Source organism: Homo sapiens, chromosome 12, assembly GCF_000001405.40.
Source record: "Homo sapiens chromosome 12, GRCh38.p14 Primary Assembly".
NCBI lineage: Eukaryota > Metazoa > Chordata > Mammalia > Primates > Hominidae > Homo > Homo sapiens.
Window position 1 is genome coordinate 50760335 of NC_000012.12, and position 26099 is coordinate 50786433.

The 26099-nt window shown below is 44.2% G+C and overlaps 1 protein-coding gene across 28 annotated transcripts in view, besides 6 other annotated features; it reads left to right on the forward strand.

The window, feature by feature from the left end:
* Positions 1362-2230: an enhancer, noted in NCBI's record as "H3K27ac hESC enhancer chr12:51155479-51156347 (GRCh37/hg19 assembly coordinates)". NCBI's record gives its function as "activates a minimal SCP1, AML or CMV promoter by ChIP-STARR-seq in naive H9 embryonic stem cells {active_cell/tissue: H9 hESC(naive)}" and the evidence as "EXISTENCE:reporter gene assay evidence [ECO:0000049][PMID:30033119]".
* ATF1 (activating transcription factor 1) overlaps positions 3125-26099 on the forward strand; it is a 57704-nt gene continuing 34729 nt past the window's right edge. For 11 of the 28 annotated variants that reach the window (NR_182081.1, NM_001412971.1, NM_001412972.1 and 8 more), the window contains exons 1-2: positions 3767-3973; positions 19806-19904. Coding sequence is in view for 13 of the 28 variants with exons in the window: in NM_005171.5 (NP_005162.1) it covers positions 19812-19904 (93 nt within the window). In the remaining 15 variants the exon portion in view is untranslated. The other 17 variants (NM_001412970.1, NM_001412963.1, NM_001412974.1 and 14 more) reach the window with 12 other exon arrangements.
* Positions 3721-3800: a silencer, noted in NCBI's record as "silent region_4454". NCBI's record gives its function as "represses an Ori minimal core promoter by ATAC-STARR-seq in GM12878 lymphoblastoid cells {active_cell/tissue: GM12878}" and the evidence as "EXISTENCE:reporter gene assay evidence [ECO:0000049][PMID:35858748]".
* Positions 4021-4110: a silencer, noted in NCBI's record as "silent region_4455". NCBI's record gives its function as "represses an Ori minimal core promoter by ATAC-STARR-seq in GM12878 lymphoblastoid cells {active_cell/tissue: GM12878}" and the evidence as "EXISTENCE:reporter gene assay evidence [ECO:0000049][PMID:35858748]".
* Positions 4531-4630: an enhancer, noted in NCBI's record as "active region_6364". NCBI's record gives its function as "activates an Ori minimal core promoter by ATAC-STARR-seq in GM12878 lymphoblastoid cells {active_cell/tissue: GM12878}" and the evidence as "EXISTENCE:reporter gene assay evidence [ECO:0000049][PMID:35858748]".
* Positions 8573-9073: an enhancer, noted in NCBI's record as "H3K4me1 hESC enhancer chr12:51162690-51163190 (GRCh37/hg19 assembly coordinates)". NCBI's record gives its function as "activates a minimal SCP1, AML or CMV promoter by ChIP-STARR-seq in naive H9 embryonic stem cells {active_cell/tissue: H9 hESC(naive)}" and the evidence as "EXISTENCE:reporter gene assay evidence [ECO:0000049][PMID:30033119]".
* Positions 9074-9574: an enhancer, noted in NCBI's record as "H3K4me1 hESC enhancer chr12:51163191-51163691 (GRCh37/hg19 assembly coordinates)". NCBI's record gives its function as "activates a minimal SCP1, AML or CMV promoter by ChIP-STARR-seq in naive H9 embryonic stem cells {active_cell/tissue: H9 hESC(naive)}" and the evidence as "EXISTENCE:reporter gene assay evidence [ECO:0000049][PMID:30033119]".

The following is a 26099-nucleotide window of genomic DNA, read 5'->3' on the forward strand; positions in this document are numbered from 1 at the left end:
GTAGTGGTAGGCGCCTGTAATCCCAGCTACTCAGGAGGCTGAGGCAGGAGAATCCCTTGAACCCAGGAGGCAGAGGTTGCAGTGAGCCAAGATACCCCCACTGCACTCCAGCCTGGGCGACAGAGCAAGACTCTGTCTCAAAAAAAAAAAAAAAATTACTTTCGGCTCTAAGTTTCTTTTTCTTTTTCTTTTTTTTTTTTTGAGGTGGAGTCTTGCTCTGTCACCCAGTCTAGAGTGCAGTGGCACGATCTCGACTTACTGCAACCTTCACCTCCTGGGTTCAAGGGATTCTCCTGCCGCAGCCTCCCAAGTAGCTGGGACCACAGGTGTGCTCCACCACGCTCAGCTAATTTTTTGTATTTTTGGTAGAGGCAGGGTTTTGCCATACTGGTCTTGAATTCCTGACCTCAAGTGATCCACCCACCTTGGCCTCCCAAAGTGCTGGGATTACGGAGGACGTGAGCCACCCTGCCCGGCCATGGCTCTAAGTTTCTTTGTTTCACTTTCCTTGCTTCTAATATTAAAGATCTGTCCATCTGATTTATGAAACTTACTATTCAGATAAACTGCATGCATCAGAACCAAGACCTCTTTTTTTTTTTCATCTAGTTATCACAGTTCAGAAGACTGGTAGGCACAGTTTATGATACTTCAATGAGAAAGAGACAAGAAAAGCAGAAGTATTTTTGAGGGGCAGTGTTGAACAAGCATAACTTTTTTTCTTCTTTTCCTCTGTCAACTGAGTCGTGGTTTTTTGTTTTTGTTTTTTTTTTTTGAGATGGAGTCTCACTGTTGCCCAGCCTGGAGTGCAGTGGCACGATCTCGGCTCACCACAAATTCCGCCTCCTGGGTTCAAGCGATTCTCCTGTCTCAGCCTCCCGAGTAGCTGGGACTGTAGGCTCACGCCATCACGTCTGGCTAACTTTTGTATTTTCAGTAGAGACGGAGTTTCGTCATATTTGCCAGGCTGGTCTCGAACTCCTGACCTCAGGTGATCCACCCACCGCGCCCTCCAAAGTGCTGGGATTACATGCGTAAGCCACCGTGCCCGGCCTGAGTTGTTTTTTAAACAATTTTAAAAAAAATTATTTTAGAGGCTAGGTGCCGTGGCTCATGCTCGTAATCCCAGCACTTTGTGAGGCTGAGCAGGCGGATCATTTGAGGTCAGCAGTTCGAGACCAAGACTGGCTAACATGGTGAAACCCCGTCCCTACTTAAAAAACTACAAAAATTAGCCAGCTGTGATGGCACACACCTGTAATCTCTCAGCTACTTGGAGGCTGAGGCAGGAGAATCACTGAAATCCGGGAGGTGGAGGTTGCAACGAGCCAAGATTGCACCAGTGCACTCCAGCCTGGGCGACAGAGGCAGACTCCATCTCAAAAAAAAAAAAAAAATTAGAGACAGTGTCTCATCTGTCATGTAGGCTTGAGTGCAGTGGCATGATCACAGCTCACTGTATCCTCAAACTCCCGAGCTCAAATGATCCTCCTGCCTCAGCCTCCCCAGTAGATGGGATTACAGGCGCATGCCACCAGGACTGGTCGAGCGTAACATTTGATTTAGACCTAAGGCACTAAGGAAGAGGAGCTAAAGAAGTAGTCAAGGCACATTTTGAAGGTTTCATTTTTCAATAAAATTTCCAGGTTTTTATTTTTTTTCTTTGGAGACAGTCTCCCTCTGTGGCTCAGGCTGGAGTGCAGTGGCGTGATCTTGGCTCACTGCAACATCTGCCTCCCAGGTTCAAGCGATTCTCATGCTTCAGCCTCCTGAGAGGCTGGGATTACAGGTGTGTGCCACCACACCTGGCTAATTTTTGTATTTTTAGTAGAGACGGGGTTTCACCATGTTGGCCAGGCTGGTCTCGAACTCCTGACCTCAGGTGATCTGCCCTCCCCCACCTCCCAAAGTGCTGGAATTACAGTCATGAACCACGACGCCTAGCCCCTCCCCCGCTTTTTACTGATCAACTTTTGTTAAGCATTCTGTGGTCCACGGAAGAAAAAACCAAACACCAAAGAACAATAAACTTGTACAACCAGCCTTCCAGCCATCAATATTCTGGATTCCAGAATGATTGAGGCTGGACTTTGTTAATCATCGAAGGCTGGTATCTGAGAAACTCTTCCTCTCCCTTACCTTTATAGGCCACTTTTCTTTCAGTAATGCTGAAACACTGACTTAATAACAGTTGTCCCCTGGTCTAGCATTTAATAGGTAATCCACAATTTTTGCTGAATGTCAATAGCTAAACGTTAGTGACCTCTTAAGACTGTCTGGCAGAGTAAATCTTCGGCTTTATATCACATTCTCCGACCCAAAGGGCCAAAAATAGGCAAAGCTCTCTCCACTAAATCGGTTTCCTAAATTGGGGATCTCAAACTAGTAAAATTTCAGAAAACTTTCGGAACTTTTGTCAAGAGCATACTAAAAAAGTTTATCTTTTGTCGTTTACTATCATTAAAGCCATAAAACAGCATTTTACAAGGAAATTTTAAAAATTAAGAATAAGGCATAACTCCCTTCCAGAGAGGTAGACCCAAAAATATTCTGAAGTTTTTGTAATGCATTAAAATGACGGCATAACATTTTATTAACACTCTGTTACGTTTCTTTTTTCTTTTTTTTTGAGACAGTTTTGCTCTTGTTGCCCAGGCTGGAGTGCAACGGTGCGATCTCGGCTCACCGCAACCTCCGCCTCCCGGGTTCAAGCGATTCTCCTGCCTCAGCCTCCCAAGTAGCTTGGATTACAGGCATTCGCCACCACACCCGGCTACTTTTGTATTTTTTAGTAGAGACGGGGTTTCTCCATGTTGGTCAGGCTGGTTTCGAACTCCCGATCTCAGGTGATCCGCCCTCCTGGGCCTCCCAAAGTGCTGGGATTACAGGCATGAGCCACCGCGCCCGGCCACATCGTTATGTCTCATTGTAAATCCGTTTCTGTAGAAAATCCTTCCACATGGGTTAAAGGACACAACTCATTGTTACTTTATGGGATTAAGAAAAATCTGAGTAAGGCCGGGCACGGTGGCTCACGCCTGTAATCCCAGAACTTTGAGAGGCCGAGGCGGAGGATCACTTGAGCCCAGGAGTTCAAGACCAGCCTGAGCAACATAGAGTCCTCATCTCTTCAAGCCGAGCGTGGTAGCGCGCGCCTGTGGTCCCAGCTGCCCCATAGGCTGAGGTTGGAGAATCGCTTGAATCCCGGGGTTGGAGGCTGCAGTGAGTCGAGATCGAACCACTGCACTACAGCCTGGGCCACAGACCCCCGTCTCAATCTCGGAAAAAAAAAAGAGACTCCATCTAAAAAAAAAAAAAAAAAAAAAAAGCTGAGGAAGTCAAAGCCTTCACTCTTCATTTCTCCTTCCAAGAGGACAGGGCCGGCGTCGGTCAAGGTCAATTGGCAGGTGAGTTGACAGCGCCGCCACTAATCGATGAAAACGCCCCCCGCGAGCACCCAGCTGCTCATGGCCTCCGGAAGCGGACGTAGGGCGGGTGGGGTACAGCTCCTAAGGAGAAACGGAACCGCAGGCACCGTCCCTCTCCCGCTGCAGCCTGAGGAACGCGTTCCGAGGAACCCCTAGCCACAAGTCAGGACCGCGTACAAGATGGCGGCGCGTCACGTGGGCAGCGCGGTGACGCAGGACGGCGGCCCGCGCGGAGGCAGCGCCATAGCCTACCCCAAACGCACACTAGTGCTCAGTTTTGCCCCCCTCCCCTCCCCCGCCCCCGCCCCCGCCCCCAGGCTTGTGTAGATCATGCCGCCAGTAGCGGCCCTGACTGCCGAGGAAACGGTAGCTTAGGACAGTTGGCTGTTAAGTGACACTGATTCTCCCCGCCCCGCCTGACCCCCGAGAAGGAGGCTTGTCCCCCGCTGCGTGAGGGGGTGGGGAAGTGGGTAGTGAATTCGGATCTACCTGGGAGGGGGGAGTGGAAGTTCCCGCCCCGGAGAGCGGCGAGGCGGCAGCCACAGGTAAGTGGGGGGCGGGGAGGGACGTGCCCCGTGGCCCGGGCGGGGAAGGACGCGGGAACGTGGCGCCGGCGGGGACGCAGCGCGGGTCGCGCGCCTGGTGGGGGTCGCGCGCGGTGGTGGCGGTGGGGGAGGGGCGCAGCGGCAGGGGGAGGGGCCGCCCGCGCTTCCGGCCTCCGCGCCTCGGTGCAGAGCTGCGCTGCGCCCTTCCAGTCGTGCGTCTCCTCCTTTCCCTCGCCCCCAAATAAAAGTAAAGCCCGAAACCGCCCGCCGCGGGGTGGCTTTCGCCTCAGAAGCCGCCCTTTGCAGTCGCAGGCGCTAGCTCTCCGTGGGAGGTCTCGAGGTTGGGCCCGGAGCCGGGCGGAGGGCGGCGCGGATATGGCCTCGGCGCGGTGTCCGCCGAGCGGAGCCCGGGTCTGGTTAACCCCGCGACAGGGTCCTCGAAGCGCGTCGGCGCTGGCGACCCTGAGGGAAGAGGCGCGCCCCTTACCCTCCTGGAGCTTGCAGTCTAGCGGGCAACCGACGCACGGGCATTGCGCACGCCCCAGACAGTCCTGGAGAGATGCGCCTGGCAGCGGAGACAGAGTGGGGACAGTAGGCGGCTTTACCCCTGGCTAGGAATGACACAAGGGCGTCTGTACCCTTTGGGATGGGCGACCCAGCCGAGGGTGACTTTCTCTTTGATCTTGTATGTCAAAAAACGAAGCCTGGCATTTCTCACTTTGATCGACGCCGTGCAGCTGGCGGCTGAATCGCTTTGAAATGATTGCAATGTGAAATAATGTCTGGTTGTGGCGCTAGTGTTTTGAAGAGATTGGGCAACTGGTAGTCTTTGAGAACCTTTAGGGTTCAGAAGCTCGGCGTGGATCTGGCAGGCATCTTTGTCAAACTGGCCTCACCTGTGATGAGTTCGTAGGCATTTATGTCTCAGAATGCATTTTAACCTGAGGTTTTTGTTAACAGAAATGCGTTCTTCTAAAATGCTCTTTTTTCTTGGAGTTTATCATATGCAGTTATCTCCGTGTCTTAATTAGAATCAATACTGTTGCCCTAAAGTCGAATGTATTAGCTCTTTAATACTTGCCGTTATCTTTTAGGGTTAGGTTTGGTCTGTGAGCTATCTGTCCATTCCTACCCGATCACCAGCAGGTGGCAGTCCCTTCTGACTTTAAATATAGGGTGTGCTATCTTTGCCAGTTTTTGTTTTGTTTTGTTTGTTTGTTTGTTTGTTTTTAAATAGAGATGGTGTCAGAGGCGTGTGAACTAGAACAACTCCATCTTAAACAGGAGCTGGGTAAAATGAGGCTGAAACCTACTGGGCTGCATTCCCAGACAGTTAAGGCATTCTAAGTCACAGGATGAGACAAGTCAGCACAAAATACAGGTCATGAAGACCTTGCTGATAAAACAGGTTGCAGTAAAGAAGCCGGCCAAAACTGAAATGGCCACAAGAGTGACCCCTGGTCATCCTCACTGCTACACTCCCATCAGCGCCATTTACAAATCCCATGGCAATGTCAGGAAGTTACCCTATATGGTCTAAAAAGGGGAGGCGTGATTAATCCACCCCTTGTTTAGCCTATCATTGAGAAATAACAGTAAAAAGGGGTAACCAGCAGCCCTTGGGGCTGCTCTGTCTATGGAGTAGCCGTTCTTTTTATTCCTTTACTTTCTTCATAATGTTACTTTTACATCGCACTGTGGACTTGCCCTGAATTATTTCTTGCGCGAGATCCAAGAACCCTCAGTTGGGGCCTGGATCAGGACGCCTGTCCTGTAACATATTTCTGGCGACCACAAAGGGACTATAGTGCAGAAACCCTGACCCAACGGCTACCTTTGGGTAAGTGTTGGGGTCCTGTAACGTATTTGTGGTGGCCACAGAAGCGACTATACTGCGGAAACCCAGTATTTATGTTTAGGAGTCTCTCCTAAGACAGTGGGTTCGAGGCCCCTCTTAATAAAAGGCAAGGACGCTTAAGCTTGACTGACCTTGGGTTGGAGGCCCTTCTAAGATATAGGGAGTTAGAGTCCCTCTCAGGTAACTCCCTCTCAGCTAAGAACAGGTTTGGCACTATGGGATATTAACTGCTGTTCTCTTTGGATTAATCTGCCTTGCGCTCTTTGCTGATGGCTGTGGGTGACAGAGTTAGGCATGAACAGGATCGTGGGACATGGGGAGCTTTTTCCTCTCTAAAAGGGGAGTCTTTTTTTTTTTTAATTTAAGTTTTAGGGTACATGTGCACATTTTGCAGGTTAGTTACATATGTATACATGTGCCATGCTGGTGCACTTCACCCACTAACTCGTCATCTAGCATTAGGTATATCTCCCAATGCTATCCCTCCCCCCTCCCCCCATAAAAGGGGAATCTTGAGAGCTGATGGGACTGCTGGAAAAGGTCCCTTTGCTGCGTACAAGCGGCTGCCTGAGGTTTTCATTGTCGGCTGCAATGAGTGGGTCTTTTCTCTGGCCTCCCTAAGCTCTTCAGCTTCCCCACCCTGCCACAGGCAATACTTTTCTTATCTACTTTGCGTTTCTTATTTTTTCTATTACTCAGGGCAACCATCTTACCTAGAGGCCACATGTTGAAACTCCAAGTCGGAGGTTGAATTAAAGATGACAGGCCCATCTGGGGGCAAATTTAAGCCTTGCTAGTTTGATATTGGGTGCTAAGCGGAGTGGCTAATGTCTTTGTTTTATCACACGTATTTTGCTCTGGCCAGAATGGAAAAAACATAATTTTCCTTTATGATACGGCTTGGCCCCCAGGGCAATGATGCTGCAAGCTTGAACACTAGGACCACTAAGGGAAAGGGAACCCAGAAGCCTGGGATGCTGGCAAAAGGGTAAGAATGTATTACCAGTCAGATTTCTGGCTTCTCTCTCACTGTACAAATGGTTAAGTGAATGGTTAAAAAAAAAAAAATCAGCCTGGCACGGTGGCTCAGGCCTGTAATCCCAGCACTTTGGGAGGCTGAGGCTGGTGGATCCCCTGAGGTCAGGAGTTTGAGACCAGCCGTGGCCAACATGGTGAAACCCTATCTCTACTAAAAATACAAAAAATTAGCTGGGTGTGGTGGCGTGCGCCTGTAGTCCCAGCTACTTGGGAGGCTGAGGCAGGATAATCACTTGAACCCGGGAGGCGGAGGTTGCAGTGAGCCGAGATCGTGCCACTGCACTCCAGCCTGGCAACAGAGCGAGACTCCATGTCCATCTCAAAAAAAGAAAAAAAAGAACACCTGTAAGCTCGCTTTTCAAGATGACCCAGCAAGCTGGTCAGTAAGATACTTGGCTGCAGGTCCCTGTAACAAATAAAAGACTGGATGAAGTCTCCACCTTGTTTTACGTCCTTGGGAGCTTGACCTTTTAACCATGTGGTGGTACTTTCTTTTGGTCCCCACCTTCAGAGAACAGGAATTTCAGGATTCATGTCATAGTTAGCTCTAAAAATAATATTAAATAGTTAAAAGCCCTTATAAGCTCAAAATTAACTACTCTAGACTCCTTCTGGGAAGGTCAACAGAGACTGCCCTGTGCTGTAGCTCAGTAGCTAAGCTTTTGCACTTTCTTTTTTTTTTTTTTTGAGATGGAGTCTTGCTCTGTCGCCCAGGCTGGAGTGCAGTGGTGCGATCTCAGCTCACTGCAACCTCCGCCTCCCGAGTTCAAGTGATTTGCCTGCGTCATCTTCCCAAGTAGCTGGGATTACAGGTGTGTGCCACTACGCCCAGCTAATTTTTGTATTTTTAGTAGAGATGGGGTTTCATCATATTGGGCAGGCTGGTCTCGAACTCCTGACCTCAGGTGATCCACCTGCCTCAGCCTCCTAAACTGATGGGATTACAGGCATGAGCCACCGCACCCAGCCAGCTTTTGCACTTCCGTGGCAACAGTCCAGGTTCAATTACCCACCTAGGAAGTAAGTCGTTTCTGGTTTAATATCTGCATGACTTTGTCTATTCTCTTCTCCTCTGTGAACTGTCTTATATTTTCCTTTTTCTAAGCACCTGGGAGGTTACCTTTGATAAAATTCAAAAGCCAGAAATACCAGCCGTTTGGCATAAAAACTTCTAAAAGGACTTTATTAAAGAGTGCTATGGTTAAAATAAGTTTAATTAAAAGTGGATATTCAAGCTCTAACAGCCTGGACTCCTTGGGAAAAACAAGAGGCACCAGAGACCCCTTTCGTGGCCCTGTTCTTCCAAGGGCTCCACCCTGAAGCCGGTAATCCAATTAAGAAACTTAAAAACTGGCAAATGAAAAATCTTACAACCACTGTTATCATCATCATCTGTCTTTCTGTGTAGCTATATAGGTGTCGTGTGTAATATTTATATAAAAGAGCTCTGATTAATCAGCTTAAACAAAAATAAACATTTAAATCAAATATTTTGAAAGCAAAATAACTAATGCCTTTTAGTTCATGTAACTTTAGTAATCTTTAGGAAATAAACACATCTTTAAAATTGATAAAAATGTTAATCTTAATTATGCAGGTCAGATATTAAGTTTGTTAAATGATTTGAGGTCATAAACTGTTTCTTTGACTTTTAAAAATTGTTCAATTTACCCTACCTTAAAGCCATTAGATTCTAGATAAGGCCTGGGGACATGTGGAGTTAGCCACGCCCCTAAGCTGTGCTGGAGAGTCAGCTCTTATCTGCACTTCTGCCTGGTGTGTCCTAGGCTAGGCTCCACACCTAGTACATAATTAAAATTGCTTACTAACCAGGGTTTTCACCAAAAGTAAAAGTCGCTAAAAGTTAAAATTGGAACATGTAACTGAGACTATTGAAGAGACAGTTTTACATGTAAGGTGTGTAGTAAGGAAAATAGAATGTACTTTTGGTAAAAGATTATAAGAAGGCATGGAAATGTGGGGTTTTTTGGCTAAAGAGTTAAATAATTATTCTAAGTTGGCCGGGCACAGTGGCTCAAACCTGTAATCCCAGCACTTAGGGAGGTCGAGGCAGATGGATCACCTGAGGTTAGGAGTTTGAGACCAGTCTGGCCAACATGGTGAAACCCCATCTCTATCAAAAAATACAAAAGTTAGCCGGGCATGGTGGCGCACACCTGTAGTCACAGCTACTCGAGGCTGAGGCAGGAGAAGCGCTTGAACCTGGGAGGGGGAGGTTGCAGTGATCTGAGATTGCACCACTGCACTCTATCCAGCCTGGGTGACAGAGCGAGACTCCATCTCAAAAAAAAAAAAAATTCATACAGGAAGCATTATCAAATGTCAAATGGTGTTTTGCTTTCTTTGGATTATATTTACATAACTGTATTATTGGTATATGTTCCAAAGTTATGGGAAACTCCTATAATTCTAATATGATTTAGTGTATGTTATTAATAATTATAATTGTTATGCAAAATATTGTGTGCCACAGAAGTAACCAAATTTCCTTATCATTTCTGGCTTTAATAGTGGCTCTCCTAAAACTTTTTATCATCCACAGACAATTGTTGTCTTGTTTTAATCCTGTTTAGAAGATGATTTATAATCAGCTATAGAACTCTAGCAGGTGTTCTTAAATGCAGGTTTCTAATAACTTTGGAAATTGTAACATTAGAATAGAGGAAACAACTTTCAGAACTCATGAAGAGCTAGAATGTTCATGAATATCAAATGAAACATGAGTTAATTGAATCAACTGAACCAATAGAAAACTGAAGTAATCTTTGATTAAAATGTTGCTGATCCTTTGTTTTGTTTTTCAGAGTCAAGGAAACTTTTCATTTGAGCTATTTACAGTTCATAGCAATTGAGTAAAGTATACTGCTGTGAACGAAATTTGGAACATATTTGTTTCTCTATATCAGATTTCTCCAGAATTTGGAAACTAGTTGTGAGTATTCTTAACTTATGGCAATGTAATTATTTGCATAAGTGCAATAAGAATCTGTTTTCTTTTGTAACAGAATACAATTGGAGAAAGTGGTTATTTTACCAAGGCTTTGACTGAAATGGTGTGCTTTTCTTTAAGGAATCAAACTTGACTTGTAGAGCCAATAAAAGCCCTTTGGGGAACTGGCCTCATACCTTGCCTACACAGTGCCTGTACAGGGTTTCTGACCTATGGTAAGTAAAGAATGTCACTTTCTCACCTGTCCAGGAGCCCCAAGTTATCTTGGGACCTCAAAAGGAGAGAAATTTACCCAAGTTATAGGTATTTAAGGGTACAAACCCATGTCAGGGCTTGGCTTTTAAAAAAGTCTTATCTGAGATTCCTTATGAAACAGAGTTCCATCAAAGCCAATTAAAAAGCCTATGTGAAAAATTATTATTCTTGCTGCACTTTATACAAACAATCAGGCCAAGTATAATAAAGCAAGTCAGTCTTACCATAATTTGTCTTTAGTAAAAATGGGAAACTGGAGAGAGAAATACTATGTTTCAAAAACTATGGTACACTTGTTATTAAATTCTGGTCTCATTAATTGTTTTTAAGTTTGTTTCTGCAATTTAGGCTAACCCTGCGTATTCTTGTAAACCAACCAGTAATCTCTAATTGTTGCTCAGAAGAAATAAGAGGGATGGGTAATTTAAAAATCTGGATCAGTATTCTGATTCTGGGCACATTACAATCAGCTAACAACCCGATATCAGCTTAGTTCCAGTGGTTGCCTGGTTCATGAAAAGTCTTCTAATTTAGTTTATTTGGAATAACTTTACTTATTTTGCTTTACTCTTTTTTTTTTCTTTCTTTCTTTTTGAGACAGAGTCTTGTTCTGTCGCCCAGGCTGGACTGCAGTGACACCATCTTGGCTCACTGCAGCCTCCGCCTCCTGGGTTCAAGTGATTCTCCTGCCTCAGCCTCCCAAGTAGCTAGAATTACAGGCACACATCACAACGCCCAGCTGACTTTTATATTTTTAGTAGAGATAGGGTTTCACCATGTTGGCCAGGCTGGCCTCGAACTCCTGACCTCAGGTAATCCACCTGCCTCGGCCTCCCAAAGTGCTGGATTACAGGTGTGAGCCACTGTACCCAGCCTATTTTGCTTTACTCTTGTGGAATATATTGCTGTTATACTTTTTGTGTAGGAATACAGGACAAGCTTACTGAACGTTTTCTTACTAATTTTCCAGATACCACCTTTTGTTGAAACTTGAGTTATGAATGAACCTTACCATACTGATGCTTTCTGACTGAGCTCCTTTTTACCCTGAATGCAAGAGACCCTCATAGGCAGGCAGGAATATCATTGCCCTATTTAGCCTGAAGAAGTTATAGAAGATGGATCTTCGTCCCTCTGCAACCCTTAGGATTAAGGGTTCTCTTAGACGGGGGGAAATGTCAGAGGCGTATGAACCAGAGCAACTCCATCTTAAACAGGCTGGGTAAAATGAGGCTAAAACCTACTGGCCTGCATTCCCAGATGATTAAGGCATTCTAAGTCACGGGATGAGATAGGAGGTCAGCACAAAATACAGGTCATAAAGACCTTGATGATAAAACAGTTGCAGTAAAGGAGCCGGCCAAAACCCACCAAAACCAAAATGGCCACGAGAGTGACCTCTGGTCGTCGTCACTGCTGTGCTCCCACCAGCGCCATGACAGTTCACAAATGCCATGGCAAAGTCAGGAAGTTACCCTGTATGGTTTAAAAAGGGGAGGCATGAAAAATCCACCCCTTGTTTAGCATATCATCGACAAATAACCATAAAAATGGACAACCAGCAGCCCTCGGGGCTGCTCTGTCTATGGAGTAGCCGTTCTTTTATTCCTTTACTTTCTTAATAAACTTGCTTTTACTTCACACTGTGGACTTGACCCATTATTTCTTGTGCGAGATCCAAGAACCCTCTGTTGGGGTCTGGATTGGGACCCTGTCCTGTAACAATAGCGTCTCACTGTGTTGCTCAGATTGGTCTCAAACTCCTGGGCTCAAGCGATCCTATCGCTTAAGGGTACAAAGTGTCTCCCAAAGTGCTGGGATTACAGGAATGAGCCATCGCACTTGGCTATATTTTTGCAAGTTTTGTTGTGCCTGAATTGCTCCATTCCTTTTTTTTTTTTTTTTTTCTTTTTTGAGATGGAGTTTCACTGTTGTTGCCCAGGCTGGAGTGCAATGGCATGGTCTCGGCTCACCGCAACCTACGCCTCCTGGATTTAAGCGATTCTCCTTCCTCAGCCTCCCAAGTAGCTGGGATTATAGGCATGTGCCACCACCCCTGGCTAATTTTGTAGTTTTAGTAGAGACCGAGTTTCACCATGTTGGTCAGGTTGGTCTCGAACTCCTGACCTCAAGTGATCCACCCACCTCGGCCTCCCAAAGTTCTGGGATTACAGGTGTGACCCACTGTGCCTGGCCAAGTTGTCCCATTTCTAAAGCTGGGGTGAGGTAACTGTCTAAATATATTTTTCTCTCTCTCTCTCTCTCTTTTATTTTAAGAGACGGGTGTCTCACTTTGTTACCCAGGCTGGAGTGCGCCTAGCCTTTTTTTTTCCCTTCAACTTTTAAGTTCCAGGGTACATGCACAGGATGTGCAGGTTTACTGCATAGGTAAACATGTGCCATGATGGTTTGCTGCACAGAACAACCCATCACCTAGGTATTAAGCGCAGCATCCATTAGCTGTTCTTCCTGATGCTCTCCCTTCCCCCACCGCACCCTCCTCCACAGGCCCCAGTGTGTGTTGTTCTCCCACCATGTGTCCCCGTGTTCTCACCATTCAGCTCCTACTTATAAGTGAGAACATGCAGTGTTTGATGTTCTGTTCCTTTGTTAGTTTGCTGAGGATAACAGCTTCCAGCTCCATCCATGACCCTGCAGAGGACATTATCTCTTTCCTTTTTATGGCTGCATAGTATTCCATGATATATATGTACATGTTCTTTATCCAGTCTCTCATTGATGGGCATATGGGTTGATTGCATGTCTTTGCTATTGTGAATAGTGCTGCAGTGAACATATGTGGGCATGTATCTTTATAATAGAATGATTTATATTCCTTTGGGTATATACCAATAATGGTATTGCTGGGTCAAATGGTATTTCTACCTGTAGGTCTTTGAGAAATTGCTGCACTGTCTTCCACAATGGTTGAACTAATTTACACTCCCACCAACAACGTAAAAGCATTCCTTATTCTCCAAACCTCGCCAACTGTTGACTTTTTAATTGCCATTCTTTTTTTTTTTTTTTTTTTTTTCGAGACAAAGTCTCATTCTATTGCCCAGGTTAGAGTGCAGTGGCACAATCTTGGCTCACTACAACCTCCGCCTCCTGGGCAGCCTCCCAAGTAGCTGGGACCACAGTCACCCACGATGCCAGCTATTTTTTTTTTTCTTGAGACTGAGTCTTGCTCTCTTGCCCACGTTGGAGTGCAGTGGTGCAATTTCTGTTCACTGCATCGTTTCCGCCTCCTGGGTTCAGGCGATTCTCCTGCCTCAGCCTTCCAAGTAGCTGGGACTACAGGTGCCCACCACCACGCCTGGCTAATTTTTGTATTTTTAGTAGAAATGGGGTTTTGCCATATTGGCCAGGCTGGTCTCAAGCTCCTGACCTCAAGTGATCTGCCCGCCTCGATCTCCCAAAGCGCTAGGATTACAGGTGTGAGTCACCATGCCAGGCCGGTAATCGCCATTTGACTGACGTGAGATGGTATCTCATTGCGGTTTTGATTTACATTTCTCTAATGATCAGTAATGTTGAGCTTAAAAAGCTCTTAGTTTATTGCCTAACATATAATGTTTCTTTCTTTGCAAGTTTTCTTTTCTTTTTTCTTTTTTTGGAGATGGAGTTTCACTCTTGTTGCCCAGGCTGGAGTGCATTGGCACTATCTCAGCTCACTGCAACCTTTGCTTCCTGGGTTCAAGCAATTCTCCTGCCTCAGCCTCCCGAGTAGCTGGAATTACAGGCATGTGCCACCATGCCTGGCTAATTTCTTTTTTATATTTAGTAGAGACGGGGTTTCTCCATGTTGGCCAGGCTGGTCTTGAACTCCTGACCTCAGGTGTTTCACCCACCTCGGCCTCCCAAAGTGTTGGGATTACAGGCGTGAGCCACCGCGCCCGGCTGCAAGTTTTCTTAAAAGGGCCCTGCCTTCCCTGACATTCTCTCTATGTCAGCAAGATCTCAGCCCACCATTTCTCAGTTCCTTCTATTCCCATTGATGGTGCTTTTGAAGCGGTGTTTCACTACTCCCTTGTTTCTGCCTGACTTTGGGTTATCTCCTGTTAAGCTTATATATGCTAACTGGGGGCTTACTTTATTTTTACAGAAAATGCATTCGTACATATAAAATTTATTCTGTATTGAACAAGTTTTTAACACATTGTTAATCTTAACCTTAATTTTAGAAATAATAGCTTTAAAAAAGTGAACAAATAAAGGTTACATTCTGATAACATCAGTAAAACAGTATGTACTGTTGTTTATGAGATGAAACTATAAAATTTTTATTTTGGAAAAAAGAGTTTTTTGTTTTTGTTTTTGTTTTTTTTTTTTTGAGACGGAGTCTCACTCTGTCGCCCAGGCTGGAGTCCAGTGGCTTGATCTCGGCTCATTGCAAGCTCCGCCTCCCGGGTTCACGCCATTCTCCCTCCTCAGCCTCCCGAGTAGCTGGGACTACAGGCGCCCGCCACCACGCCCAGCTAATTTTTTGTATTTTTAGTAGAGACGGAGTTTCACCATTCACAGAATGGTGTCGATCTCCTGACCTTGTGATCCGCCTGCCTCGGCCTCCCAAAGTGCTGGGATTACAGGCCTGAGCCACCGTGCCTGGCCAAGAGCTTTATTTGATATGTTGATTCTTCATGTATACAATAATGGAAAATATGTTATCTTTTGTTTTTTTTTTTTAATTGAGATAATGGGCTGTCTCTGTGTTCCCCAGGCTGGTCTCGAACTCCTGGGGGACTCAAGCAATCCTCCTGCCTCAACCTCCTAAGTAGCTGGAATTACAAGTATGCACCCTGTTAGTTATCTTTTTTGTAGGAAAGGTGGTTATAATTATTGTCTAAAATGTTACTTGCTGATTATAGTGGCTTTTACTGTTGATATGTGTGTTTTTTTTTTGATCATATTAGTTTCTATTAGAAGTAGGAATGTATCTTACTTTTCTGAAACAGGGTCTTGCTGTCACCCAGGCTGGAATGTTAGTGGCATGATAATGGCCCACTGCAACCTCAACCTCCTGGGCTCAAGTGATCCTCCAGTATCAGTGGGCACCCCCATCTCCAGCACCCCCACCTCCTGCAGTATCTGGGACCACAGGCATGCGCCACCACACCTTGCTAATTAAAATTGTTTTTTTTTTTTGTAGAGACGAGGTCTTGCTACATTGTCCAGGATGGAGAAGTAGGAATTCTTAAGGATATTGTTATGGAGGGAAAAAAATCAGTGAGTCAGAGCAAAACAAAAGTATCATTTCTAGTAATTAACAAGATTATAAAAACTCTTTTATAGTTTCAGTGCTTTAGGATTACATCTTTTTTCTTCTTTGCTCTGTATTCTAATTTATGTCTTCTGAAGTGGAGTATTTAAAAGGTATTTTTAGTAGAGATATTTGCAGAAGGTACATGATTTTGTCTTTTCTGTTTTTATATTAGTCTGTGGGATTACCTTGTATTAGTGTAGATTAAAAAGCACTGAATTGGCCAGTGTGGCTGATGGCCTGTAATCGCAACACTTTAGGAGGCCAAGGTAGGTGGATCGTTTGAGCTTAGGAGTTCAAGGCCAAAACCTCGTCTCGACAAAAAATTTTAAAAATTAGGCTGGGCACGGTGGCTCACGCCTGTAATGCCAGCACTTTGGGAGGCCGAGGAGGGCGGATCATGAGGTCAGGAGATCAAGACCATCCTGGCTAACACAGTGAAACCCCGTCTTTACTAAAAATACAAAAAATTAGCTGGGCATGGTGGCGGGCGCCTGTAGTCCCAGCTACTCAGGAGGCTGAGGCAGGAGGGAGAATGGTGTGAACCCGGGAGGTGGAGCTTGCAGTGAGCCGAGATCGTCCCACTGCACTCCAGCCTGGGTGACAGAGTGAGACTCTGTCTCAAAAAAGAAAAAAAAAATTTTTTTTTAATTAGCCAGATATGGTGATGCATGCCTGTGGTCCTAGCTGCTTGGGAGGCTGAGGTGTGAAGATCACTTGAGCCCAGTAGATTGAGACTGCAGTGAGCTGTGATCACACCACTGCACTCCAGCCAGGGTCACAGAGCAACACCCTGTCTTTAAAAAAAAAAAAAAAAAAAGAAGGAAAACACTTGAGACTCTGGTAAATGGATGGACAAATGATATGACCAGATAACTCATACAACTAATGGAGAATTAAAGAAATATGAAACAATGTATATTTTTTACCTATCATTAATTATTTTAAAAAAATTTCTATTGCTTTCTTACGTGCTTTTGATAAACTACAATTCATTCAGAAAACTTTAAATATTTCCAATTCCCTTACATTAAGTAATTCTCTTTTTTGGAACTTACAGAAAAAAATCTTAATTACAGAGAAAGGTTTATGCACCAAAGATGTTCATGACAGTATTGTTTTAGTAAAAAATACAATTTATGCACATTCCCTGGATGCTGTATTATAAAGCCTTTATTTATTTATTTTTGAGATGGAGTCTGGCTCTGTTGCCCAGGCTGGAGGGCAGTGGGCAATCCCAGTTTACTGCAACCTCTGCCTCCCGGGTTCAAGCGATTCTCCTGCTGAGTAGCTGGGATTACAGGCATGCGACACCATACCCAGCTGATTTTTTGTAATTTTAGTAGAGATGGGGTTTCACTGTGATGGCCAGACTGATCTCGAACTCCTGACCTCAGATGATCTGCCCACCTCGGCCTCCCAAAATGCTGGGATTACAGGCATGAGCCACACTGCCCAGCCTATGTAGCCTTTAAATATGTTTCTATTTAAAACCTAGAAAATATGTATGATAAATGAAAACAGGATACAAAATATGAGGATACAAAGTAGTACATGTAGTATGGTTATGACTTTAAGAAGTTGTGGAAATAGAAGACTAAAAGAAATTAGACAATAATGTGATTAATATCTGTCATCCTTTTTTCTTTCTATTGTGTATTTTCCATGTAAGAAGAAAAAGACTAGTGGTGTATTTGAGGGGAAAAAAAATTTAAACTACTTTCTGTCTGAAGCGATTTCATGCTTTTCTCCATTGACTAAAAACAAGAGCTTCAATTCATTTGTTAAAAATGAATTTGGGCTGGGCATGTTTACTTATACCTGTAATCCCAGCACTTTGGGAGGCCGAGGCAGACAGTAATTACTTGAGCCTACGCATTCAAGACCAGCCTGGGCAACATGGCAAAACCCCATCTGTACAGAAAAGACCCCCCCCAAATTAACAAGGCATGGTGGTATGCACCTGTAGTCCCAGCTACTCAGGAGGCTGAGGTGGAAGGATGGGTTGAGCCTGCGAGGTCAAGGCTGCAGTGAGCCGAGGTTGCACCACTACACTCCAGCCTGGGCAACAGTGTGAGACCCTGTCTCAAAAAAAAAAAAATGTTTTCTGACTTAGAAAAAAGGAAGAAGAAAATATGTAGGCTTAAACTCCACAGTTATTAATTCAATGAAGCCTGGCAGCTACCTAGCTGCCCTCTCTCTCTCTAATTGTGGAGAAATATACGTACCGTGGAATTTACTATCTTTTTTTTTTTTTTTTTTGAGACAAGGCTGAAGTGCGGTAGTGTGATCTCAGTTTACTGCAGCCTTGACTCCTGGGCTGCAGCAATCCTCTCGCCTCAGCCTCCTGAGTAGCTGAGACTACAGGGGCATACTACCACGCCCAGCTAATTTTTTATTTTTTGTAGAGACGGGCTCTCACTATGTTGCCAGGTCTGGTCTCAAACTCCTGGGCTCATGTTATTCTTGTGCCTCAGCCTCCCAATGTGTTGAGATCATGGGCGTGAGCCACCACACCTGGCCATATTAACCTTTTTTTTTTTTTTTTTTTTGAGACAGAGTCTCACTCTGTCACTAGGCTGGAGTGCAGTGGTACGATCTCAGCTCACTGCAACCTCCACCTCCCGGGTTCAAATGATTCTCCTGCCTCAGCCTCCTGAGTAGCTGGGACTGCAGGCACCTGCCCCCGTGCCGAGCTAATTTTTTATTTTTAGTAGAGACATGGTTTCACCATGTTGGCCAGGATGGTCTCGATCTCTTGACCTCGTGATCCACCCACCTCGGCCTCCCAAAGTGCTGAGATTACAGGCGTGAGCCACCGCGCCTGGCCATATTAACCATTTTTAAACATACAGTTCTATAGTGTTAAGTACATTCACAGTGTGTACAACCAATGTCCAGAACTTTTTTTTTTTTTGAGACAATCTCCCTCTGTCACTCAGGCTGGAGTGCAGTGGCACAATCCACTCACTGCAACCTCCACCTCCCGGGTTCAAGCAATTCTCGTGCCTTAGCCTCCCAAGTAGCTGGGATTACAGGTGCTTGCCACCACCCCTGGCTAATTTTTTTTGTATTTTAGTAGAAACCATGTTGCCCAGGGCTGGTCTTGAGCTCTTCAGCTCAGGCAGTCCGCCCATATTGGCCTTCCAAAGTGCTAGGATTACGGCCTTGAGCCACCATGCCCAGCCCAGAACTTTTTCATGCCCATTAAACAGCAGCTCTCCATTTGCTCCTTCCCTTAGTCCCTGATAGCCACCATTCTACTTCCTGTTTCTGTGGAGTTTTGCTACTCTAGATACGTCAAGTTAGTGGAATCATAAAGTTTTTGTATTTTTATGACTGGGTTATTTGACTTAGCACAATATGCTCAAGGTTCATCCATGCTGTAGCATGTGACAGGAGTTTCTTCCTAAGGCTGAACAATATTCCATTGTATGTACAGTCACTATTTTATTTATCAATTCATCCACTGATGAATATTTGGGTTGCTTCCACCTTTTGGCTATTGTGAATAATAATGCTGCCATGAACATAGGTGTACAAATATTCTTCTCCTTGAGACCGTGCTTTCAATTCTTCTGGATATATACACCACCAAGTGAAATTGCTCTATTTTTGTTTGAGGAACTGCCATAGCGTTTTCCATAATAGCTGTACCACTTTACATTCCCACCAGCACAGTAGTGTACCAGGGTTCCAGTTTCTCCACATCCTTGCCAACACTTAGTATTTTCTGTGTCTTGATATTACCCATTCTAATGGGTATGTATGAGGTGATATTTCGTTGTAGTTTTCAGTGCATTTCCTTAATAGTGATATTGAGCATCTTTTCATAAGCTTTCTGGCTAGCCCTCTCTCTTTTTTTTTTTTTTGGCCTTTCCAGGTAACCTTTAAAAACATTAAATTCTGTCTAAATCTTTTACCAGCTTGTTAGTGGTTCTCTCCCTATTTGCCGTATTTGATCTCTCATAGCTCATTTATTCTCATTCTTACCTAGCCTACATATCCTGAAGTTGATTATCTAAGTTTTCTAGAACTTATTTAGAACCTCCTTAGGTATAGTTTTATTTATTTGTTCAACTTTTACTCAGTAAATTCTCTATATAAAAAACTATATGTACACTTAGAAACTTCCCTAGACTAGAGACAGATATGTTTGTGTCCATAGACAGGAGGACTGTCATCATTCTTCAATGGGATAACGTTTGCAAACTTAGTCATCATAATTTATGTTTATATGTGCCTTTTATTAAACTTAAACATGTTTTTGTGGGCCAAAATTCAAAAAATTTAAAGAAAATGCACAGTCCCCTTTCTATCTCTATACCATTGCTACCAGTTCTTTTCCATTGAGGCAACTAAATGATCAATTTTTATATGATTCTATAGTATACTGTAAACATTCTGTATCATATTTAATTTTAACGGACTTTTTTCCCCCTTATAGTTGATTATGGAAGATTCCCACAAGAGTACCACGTCAGAGACAGCACCTCAACCTGGTTCAGCAGTTCAGGGAGCTCACATTTCTCATATTGCTCAACAGGTAAGGGAGGGACTGGCCAAAATACTGAGCTTGTTAGGAATATTTTATATGCAGATTAATCTCGTTTCAGACTGATTATTAATGTGTTTTATTTTGGTTTTTGTTTTTTGGGTTTTTTTTTTCGAGGCAGATTTTTGCTCTAGTTGCCCAGGCTGGAGTGCAGTGGCATGATCTCGGCTCACTGCAACCTCCACCTCCTGGGTTCAAACAATTCTCCTACCGCAGCCTCCCAAGTAGCTGGGACTACAGGCATCTGCCACCACGCCTGGCTATTTTTTGTATTTTTAGTAGAGATGGGGTTTTACCATGTTGGCCAGGCTGGTCTCGAACTCCTGACCGCAGGTAACCCACCCACCTTGGCCTCCCAAAATGCTGGGATTACAGGTGTGAGCCACCAGACCTGGCATTAATGTTAAAAAAAAAAAAAAACAAAACAAGCAAAGGCCAGGCGCAGTGGCTCACGCCTGTAATCCTAGCACTTTGGGAAGTCAGGGCGGGCGGATCACGAGGTCAAGAGTTCAAGACTAGCCTGACCAACATGGCGAAACCCTGTCTCTAATAAAAATCAAAAATTAGCCAGGTGCAGTGGCGGTTGCCTGTAATCCCAGCTGCTCGGGAGGCTGAGGCAGGAGAATCGCTTGAGCCTGGGAGGTGGAGGTTGCAGTGAGCACAGACTATGCCACTGCACTCCAGCCTGGGCAATAGAACGAGACTCCATATCATAAAAATAAATAAATAAAAAATAAAATAGAAAAACAAGCAAAAAAGACTGTATAAAATGTTAAAATATAAGAAAAGAAGGTGGACTTTAAATATCTTGTCAAGATCATTTAGTTTTATTTTCTTTTAAACGAAGTATATAGTCATCTCTCAGTATCTGTGGGAGACTGGTTCCAGGACGTCCACAGATACCAAGATCTGTGATGCTTAAAGCCCCTGATAGAAAACGGCATGGTATTTATATATAACCTACATATTTTCCTGTATACTTTAAATCATTTCTAGATTACTTTTAATACCTAATACTATGTAAATGCTATGTGAATAGTTATACTATATGACAAGAAAAACAGTCGGTACATGTTCAGTATAGAGAAATTTTTTTTCCTGAATATTTTCAATCTGTGGTTGGTTGAATCCACAGATGTGAAACTCATGGATGCAGAACCCATGAATAAAGAGGCCTAACTGTATTTAGAGTTGTTTTCTTTGTTTTTGTTTTTGTTTTTCAAGGCAGGGTTTCGCTCTGTCGCTCAGGCTGGAGTGCAGTGGTACGATCTCGGGTCACTACAACCTCCGCCTCCCGGGTTCAAACGATTCTCCTGCTTCAGCCTCCCGAGTAGCTGGGATTACAGGCGCCCACCACCACACCCAGCTAATTTTTTGTATTTTTGGTAGAGACGGGGTTTCACCTGTTGGCCAGACTGGTCTCAAACTCCTGACCTCAGGTGATCCACCCACCTCAGCCTCCCAAAATGCTGGGATTACAGGCGTGAGCCACCGTGCCCGGCCAAAAAATTTTAAAAATTAGCTGGGTGTGGTGGCACTACAACACCTGTAGTAACAGCTACTTGGCTGAAGCAGGAGGATTGTTTGAGCCCAGGAGTTCAAGGCAGCAGTGAGCTATAATCATGCCACTGCACTCCAGCCTGGGTGACAGAGTGAGACCCTATCTCCAAAAAAAAAAAAAAAAAAATCATGCATGAGTGTAAGAGCCATTTAAAGTGCAAGATGAGACTAACGGATTTTAATGTTAACAATACACAAAGTTCAGACTGTACATGGCAAATAACCTTTAAGAAACTATAACTTGCTGAGTTTTGCTGCTGTATCAAAGAATACAATGAAATGAAAAGGCTTTTAAAACACTACACATCTTTTCTAATTGCATATCTATGTGAGGGCAGATTTTCTTCATATAATTCAACCAAAACAATGTATGATAACATAATTAATGTAGAATCAGATAAGAGATTTCAGCTGTTTTCTTTTTCTGTTTTTTTTGTTTGTTTGTTTATTTGTTTGTTTGTTTTTTGAGACAGTGTCTCGCTCTGTCGCCCAGGCTGGAGTGCAGTGGCGCGATCTCGGCTCACTGCAACCTCCGCCTTCCAGGTTCACGCCATTCTCCTGCCTCAGCCTCCCGAGTAGCTGGGACTACAGGCGCCCGCCACCACGCCCGGCTAATTTTTTGTATTTTTACTAGAGACAGGGTTTCATCGTGTTAGCCAGGATGGTCTTGATCTCCTGACCTCGTGATCCACCCGCCTCAGCCTTCCAAAGTGCTAGGATTACAGGCCTGAGCCACCACACCCGGCCTTTTTTTTTTTTTTTTTTTTAGTAGAGACAGAGTCTCACTATGTTGCCCAGGCTGGTGTCAAACTCCTGGGCTCAAGTGATCCTCAGCATCCCAAAGTGCTGGGATTATAGGTGTGAGCCACTGTGGCCAGCCTTTTTTTTTTTTTTTTTTTTGAGACGGAGTCTTGCTCTGTCGCCCAGACTGGAGTGCAGTGGTGCGATCTTGGCTCACTGCAACCTCTGCCTCTTGGGTTCAAGTGATTCTCCTGCCTCACCCTCCCGAGTAGCTGGGAATACAGGTGCCCACTGCCACGACCAGCTAATTTGTGTATTTTTAGTAGAGGTGGGGTTTCACCATATTGACCAGGCTGGTCTTGAACTCCTGACGTCAAGTGATCCACCCACCTTGGCCTCCCAAAGTGCTGGGATTACAGGCATGAGCCACTGCACCCGGCTGATTTCAGCTGTTTTCTATTAAGCCAGATATTAAGGAAATTTGCAGAAATGTAAAACAATGCCATTTCTCTCACTAATTTTTTTTGAAAATGTATTAATGGAAATAGGTATGGTAACGTGTAATGGATTGTTATTGTATTTTGAAATGAACTGCTAATTTTTTAAATTTAATTTTAAATATGGTAAGTATTAATAAATATAACTGAAATAATAATTTTGGGGGGTCCTCAATAAGTTTGAGAATGTCAAAAGGATTTGTGACCAAAAGGTTTGAAAACCAGTGACCCAAAGGGGTTAGTCCTTTAAGCTTGATATATCCTTCTGCCTTATTTGGCTATATCTGTGAAGAATAGCAGTGTCTTCTCCAGATGGTGCTAGAAAAATAAGGTGGAGTCTTTCTTTGATTATTTTTCTGTTAATAGAGCACTTTACAGAAATGTTCTAATTCAGTTGGCTTACTTATATCTATATTTCAGTTATTTTAGTTAGATGTGACTCTTCAAATTTCCTCAGAAGCATATTTACGGTGAAGTGGAATAAATACATTTCTAGATAGTAAATCATTTTATAGTGATTTTTAAAAATAATATGGTTGGCAGGCTGGGCACAGTGGCTCATGCCTGTAATCCCAGCACTTTGGGAGGCCGAGGCGGGTAGATCACGAGGGCAGGAGTTCAAGACCAGCCTGGCCAAGATGGTGAAACCCCGTCTCTACTAAAAATACAAAAATTAGCTGGGCATGGTGGCATGCACCTTTAATCCCAGCTACTCGGGAGGCTGGGATAGAGAACTGCTTGAACTGGGGAGGTGGAGGTTGCAGTGAGCCGAGATCATACCACTGTACTCCAGACTGGGCGACAGCGCAAAACTCCGTCTGAAAAAAAAAAAAAAAAAATGGCTGGCCACGGTGGCTCACACCTATAATCCCAGCACTTTGGGATGCTGAGGATCACTTGAGCCCAGGAGTTTGACACCAGCCTGGGCAACATAGTGAGACTCTGTCTCTACTAAAAAATAAAAAAATTTAGCCAGGTGTGGTGGCGTTTGTCTGCAGTCCCAACTACTCAGGAGGCAGAAGGGAGAGGACCACCTGAGCCCCAGAGGTCAAGGCTGCAGTGAGCCGTGATTGCACCATTGCACTCCAGGCTGGGTCACAGCATGATCCTGTCTCAAAAAAAAAAAGAAAAAAATTATGTAAAGGAAACAGTATTTTATAATAATTCAGTATAAACTGGGGATATAGCAGTGAACAAAATTCTCAGCTTTCATGTATCTTATATTCTAATTTTGGAGAGACAGGCAACAAAACCTATCAGTTGGTAATATGTGCCATGGAGACAAATAAAGCAGGATAGGAGAGATAGGGAGTTGGTGGTGGGGACAGGGGACTTCTCTTTTTATACAAGGTAGACAGAGACATTTGTCTGAGGAAATACTTGTTCAATTATATGGACCAACAGTTGTAAAACTGTGAGACTAATATGTGCTTGATATGGTCAAGGAACACTGAGGTGGCCAGTGTGTTGGGAGAGGGATGGATAGAGGATGAGGCAGAGAGGGTTGGGGTGCGAAGAGGGGAGAGTGCCAGATAATGTAGGCCATATACCACTGTAAAATTTTTGTGTTTTGATCTGGGTGACGTGGGGAACCTTTAGAGTGTTTTGAGTAGAAACGTTATCTGGCGTATCTTAAAAGAATCACTCAGACTGCTTTGTGGAATAGAAACAGGAAACTAGTTAGAAGGCATTACAGTAATGTACATGGGAGATGACAATGGCTTGGACCAGTGTGGTAGCTGGGGTAGTGATGAGACAAAGTTAGATTCTGGATATATATTGGTTGTAAAGCCAATAGTATTTGCTTTTGGATTGGATGTGGAGTTTTATTTTTTATTTATTTATTTATTTATTATTTATTATTATTATACTTTAAGTTTTAGGGTACATGTGCACAATGTGCAGGTTAGTTACATATGTATACATGTTCCATGCTGGTGTGCTGCACCCATTAACTCATCATTTAGCATTAGGTATATCTCCTAATGCTATCCCTCCCCCCTCCCCGCTGGATGTGGAGTTTTAAATAAAGGAACGAGCCAAGATTGACGTCACAGTTTTGGTTTGAGCAACTGTTAAGAATGAAATTACTTGACCCGGGCGTGGTAGTGCATGCCTATAATCCCCTCTGCTTGGGAGGCTCAGGTGGGAGGACTCCTTGAGCCCAGGAGTTCCAGACCAGCCTGGGCAACATAGTGTAGACTCACCCCATCTCAAAAAAAAAATTATATATATACATACACACACACACACACACACACACACACACACACACACACACACACACACACACAGACGTATATATATAATTGCCATTTATTGAGATGGACAATGCTGGATGATGTTTTCCATTTCTTTTTGGGGGAATGTTGGCAATCAGGAATTTGGTTTTTAGGCATGTTATGTCTGTAATATTATCTGTGTTGGTTTTCTGTGCTGCAGAACAAATCACCACAAAGCTAATAGCTTAAAACAACACACATTTATTATCTCACAGTTTGTGTGGGGTCAGGCATATCTTAACTGGGTTCTTTGCTTTGCGGTCTCACACCAAACTGCAACTGAGGCATTGGCTAGGGCTGAGTTCTTAGCAGGAGGCTAGACTAGAGAAGAATCTACTTCCAAGGTCACTTAGTTTGTTGGCAGAATTCTTTTCACTGTGGCTGTAGGACTGAGTGCTTCAGTTTTTTGGTTGGTTCTTGGCTGGAGGCTGCCCATAGCTCCTAAAGGCCACCAGTAACTCCCTGCCACGTGATCCTCTCCGTATGCAGTTCACAGCATAGCAGCCTGCTTCAAGTCCAGCAGGAGAGTGAGAGCAAGTCTGCTAGCAAGACAGTCTTATACATAATATAATCAAAGGAATGACATCCCATTTCCTTGTGATAAAACATGACATCCCATCATCTTTGCTTAATAAGGTTGGTTAGAAGCAAGTCACAAGTCCCTCCCACTCTCAAGGGGAGAGGATTAGACAAAGTCCCAAACACCAGGAGCTGCAGATCATGGGGGCCACCCTAAAATCTGTTGGGCAGACCATCCAAGTAGATTTATCCAGTAGGCAGCTAGATATATGAGTCTGGGGTCCAGGAGAGAGGTCCAGACTAGAAATCTAAATTTAGGAGTTGTGGCTATATAGGTGGTATTTATAATTATGGGATGATTTCCAGACTCCCCCAAGATGCAGAAAGCTGGAAAGAATGTTACTCTTACCCTGAAACAAGAATAAGTTGTATGTTCTATAAAATAATAAACTCATAGAGGTGGGGTGTGGGCATGGCTCACCTGTGGCAGAGCACAGAAAATAAGCAGGGCTGCGTACTAGCAGGAAAATTAATGAATTGCTAAAGTCCAAGTGTAGGCAAGCGTGAGCGTATAGAATCCTTGGGAG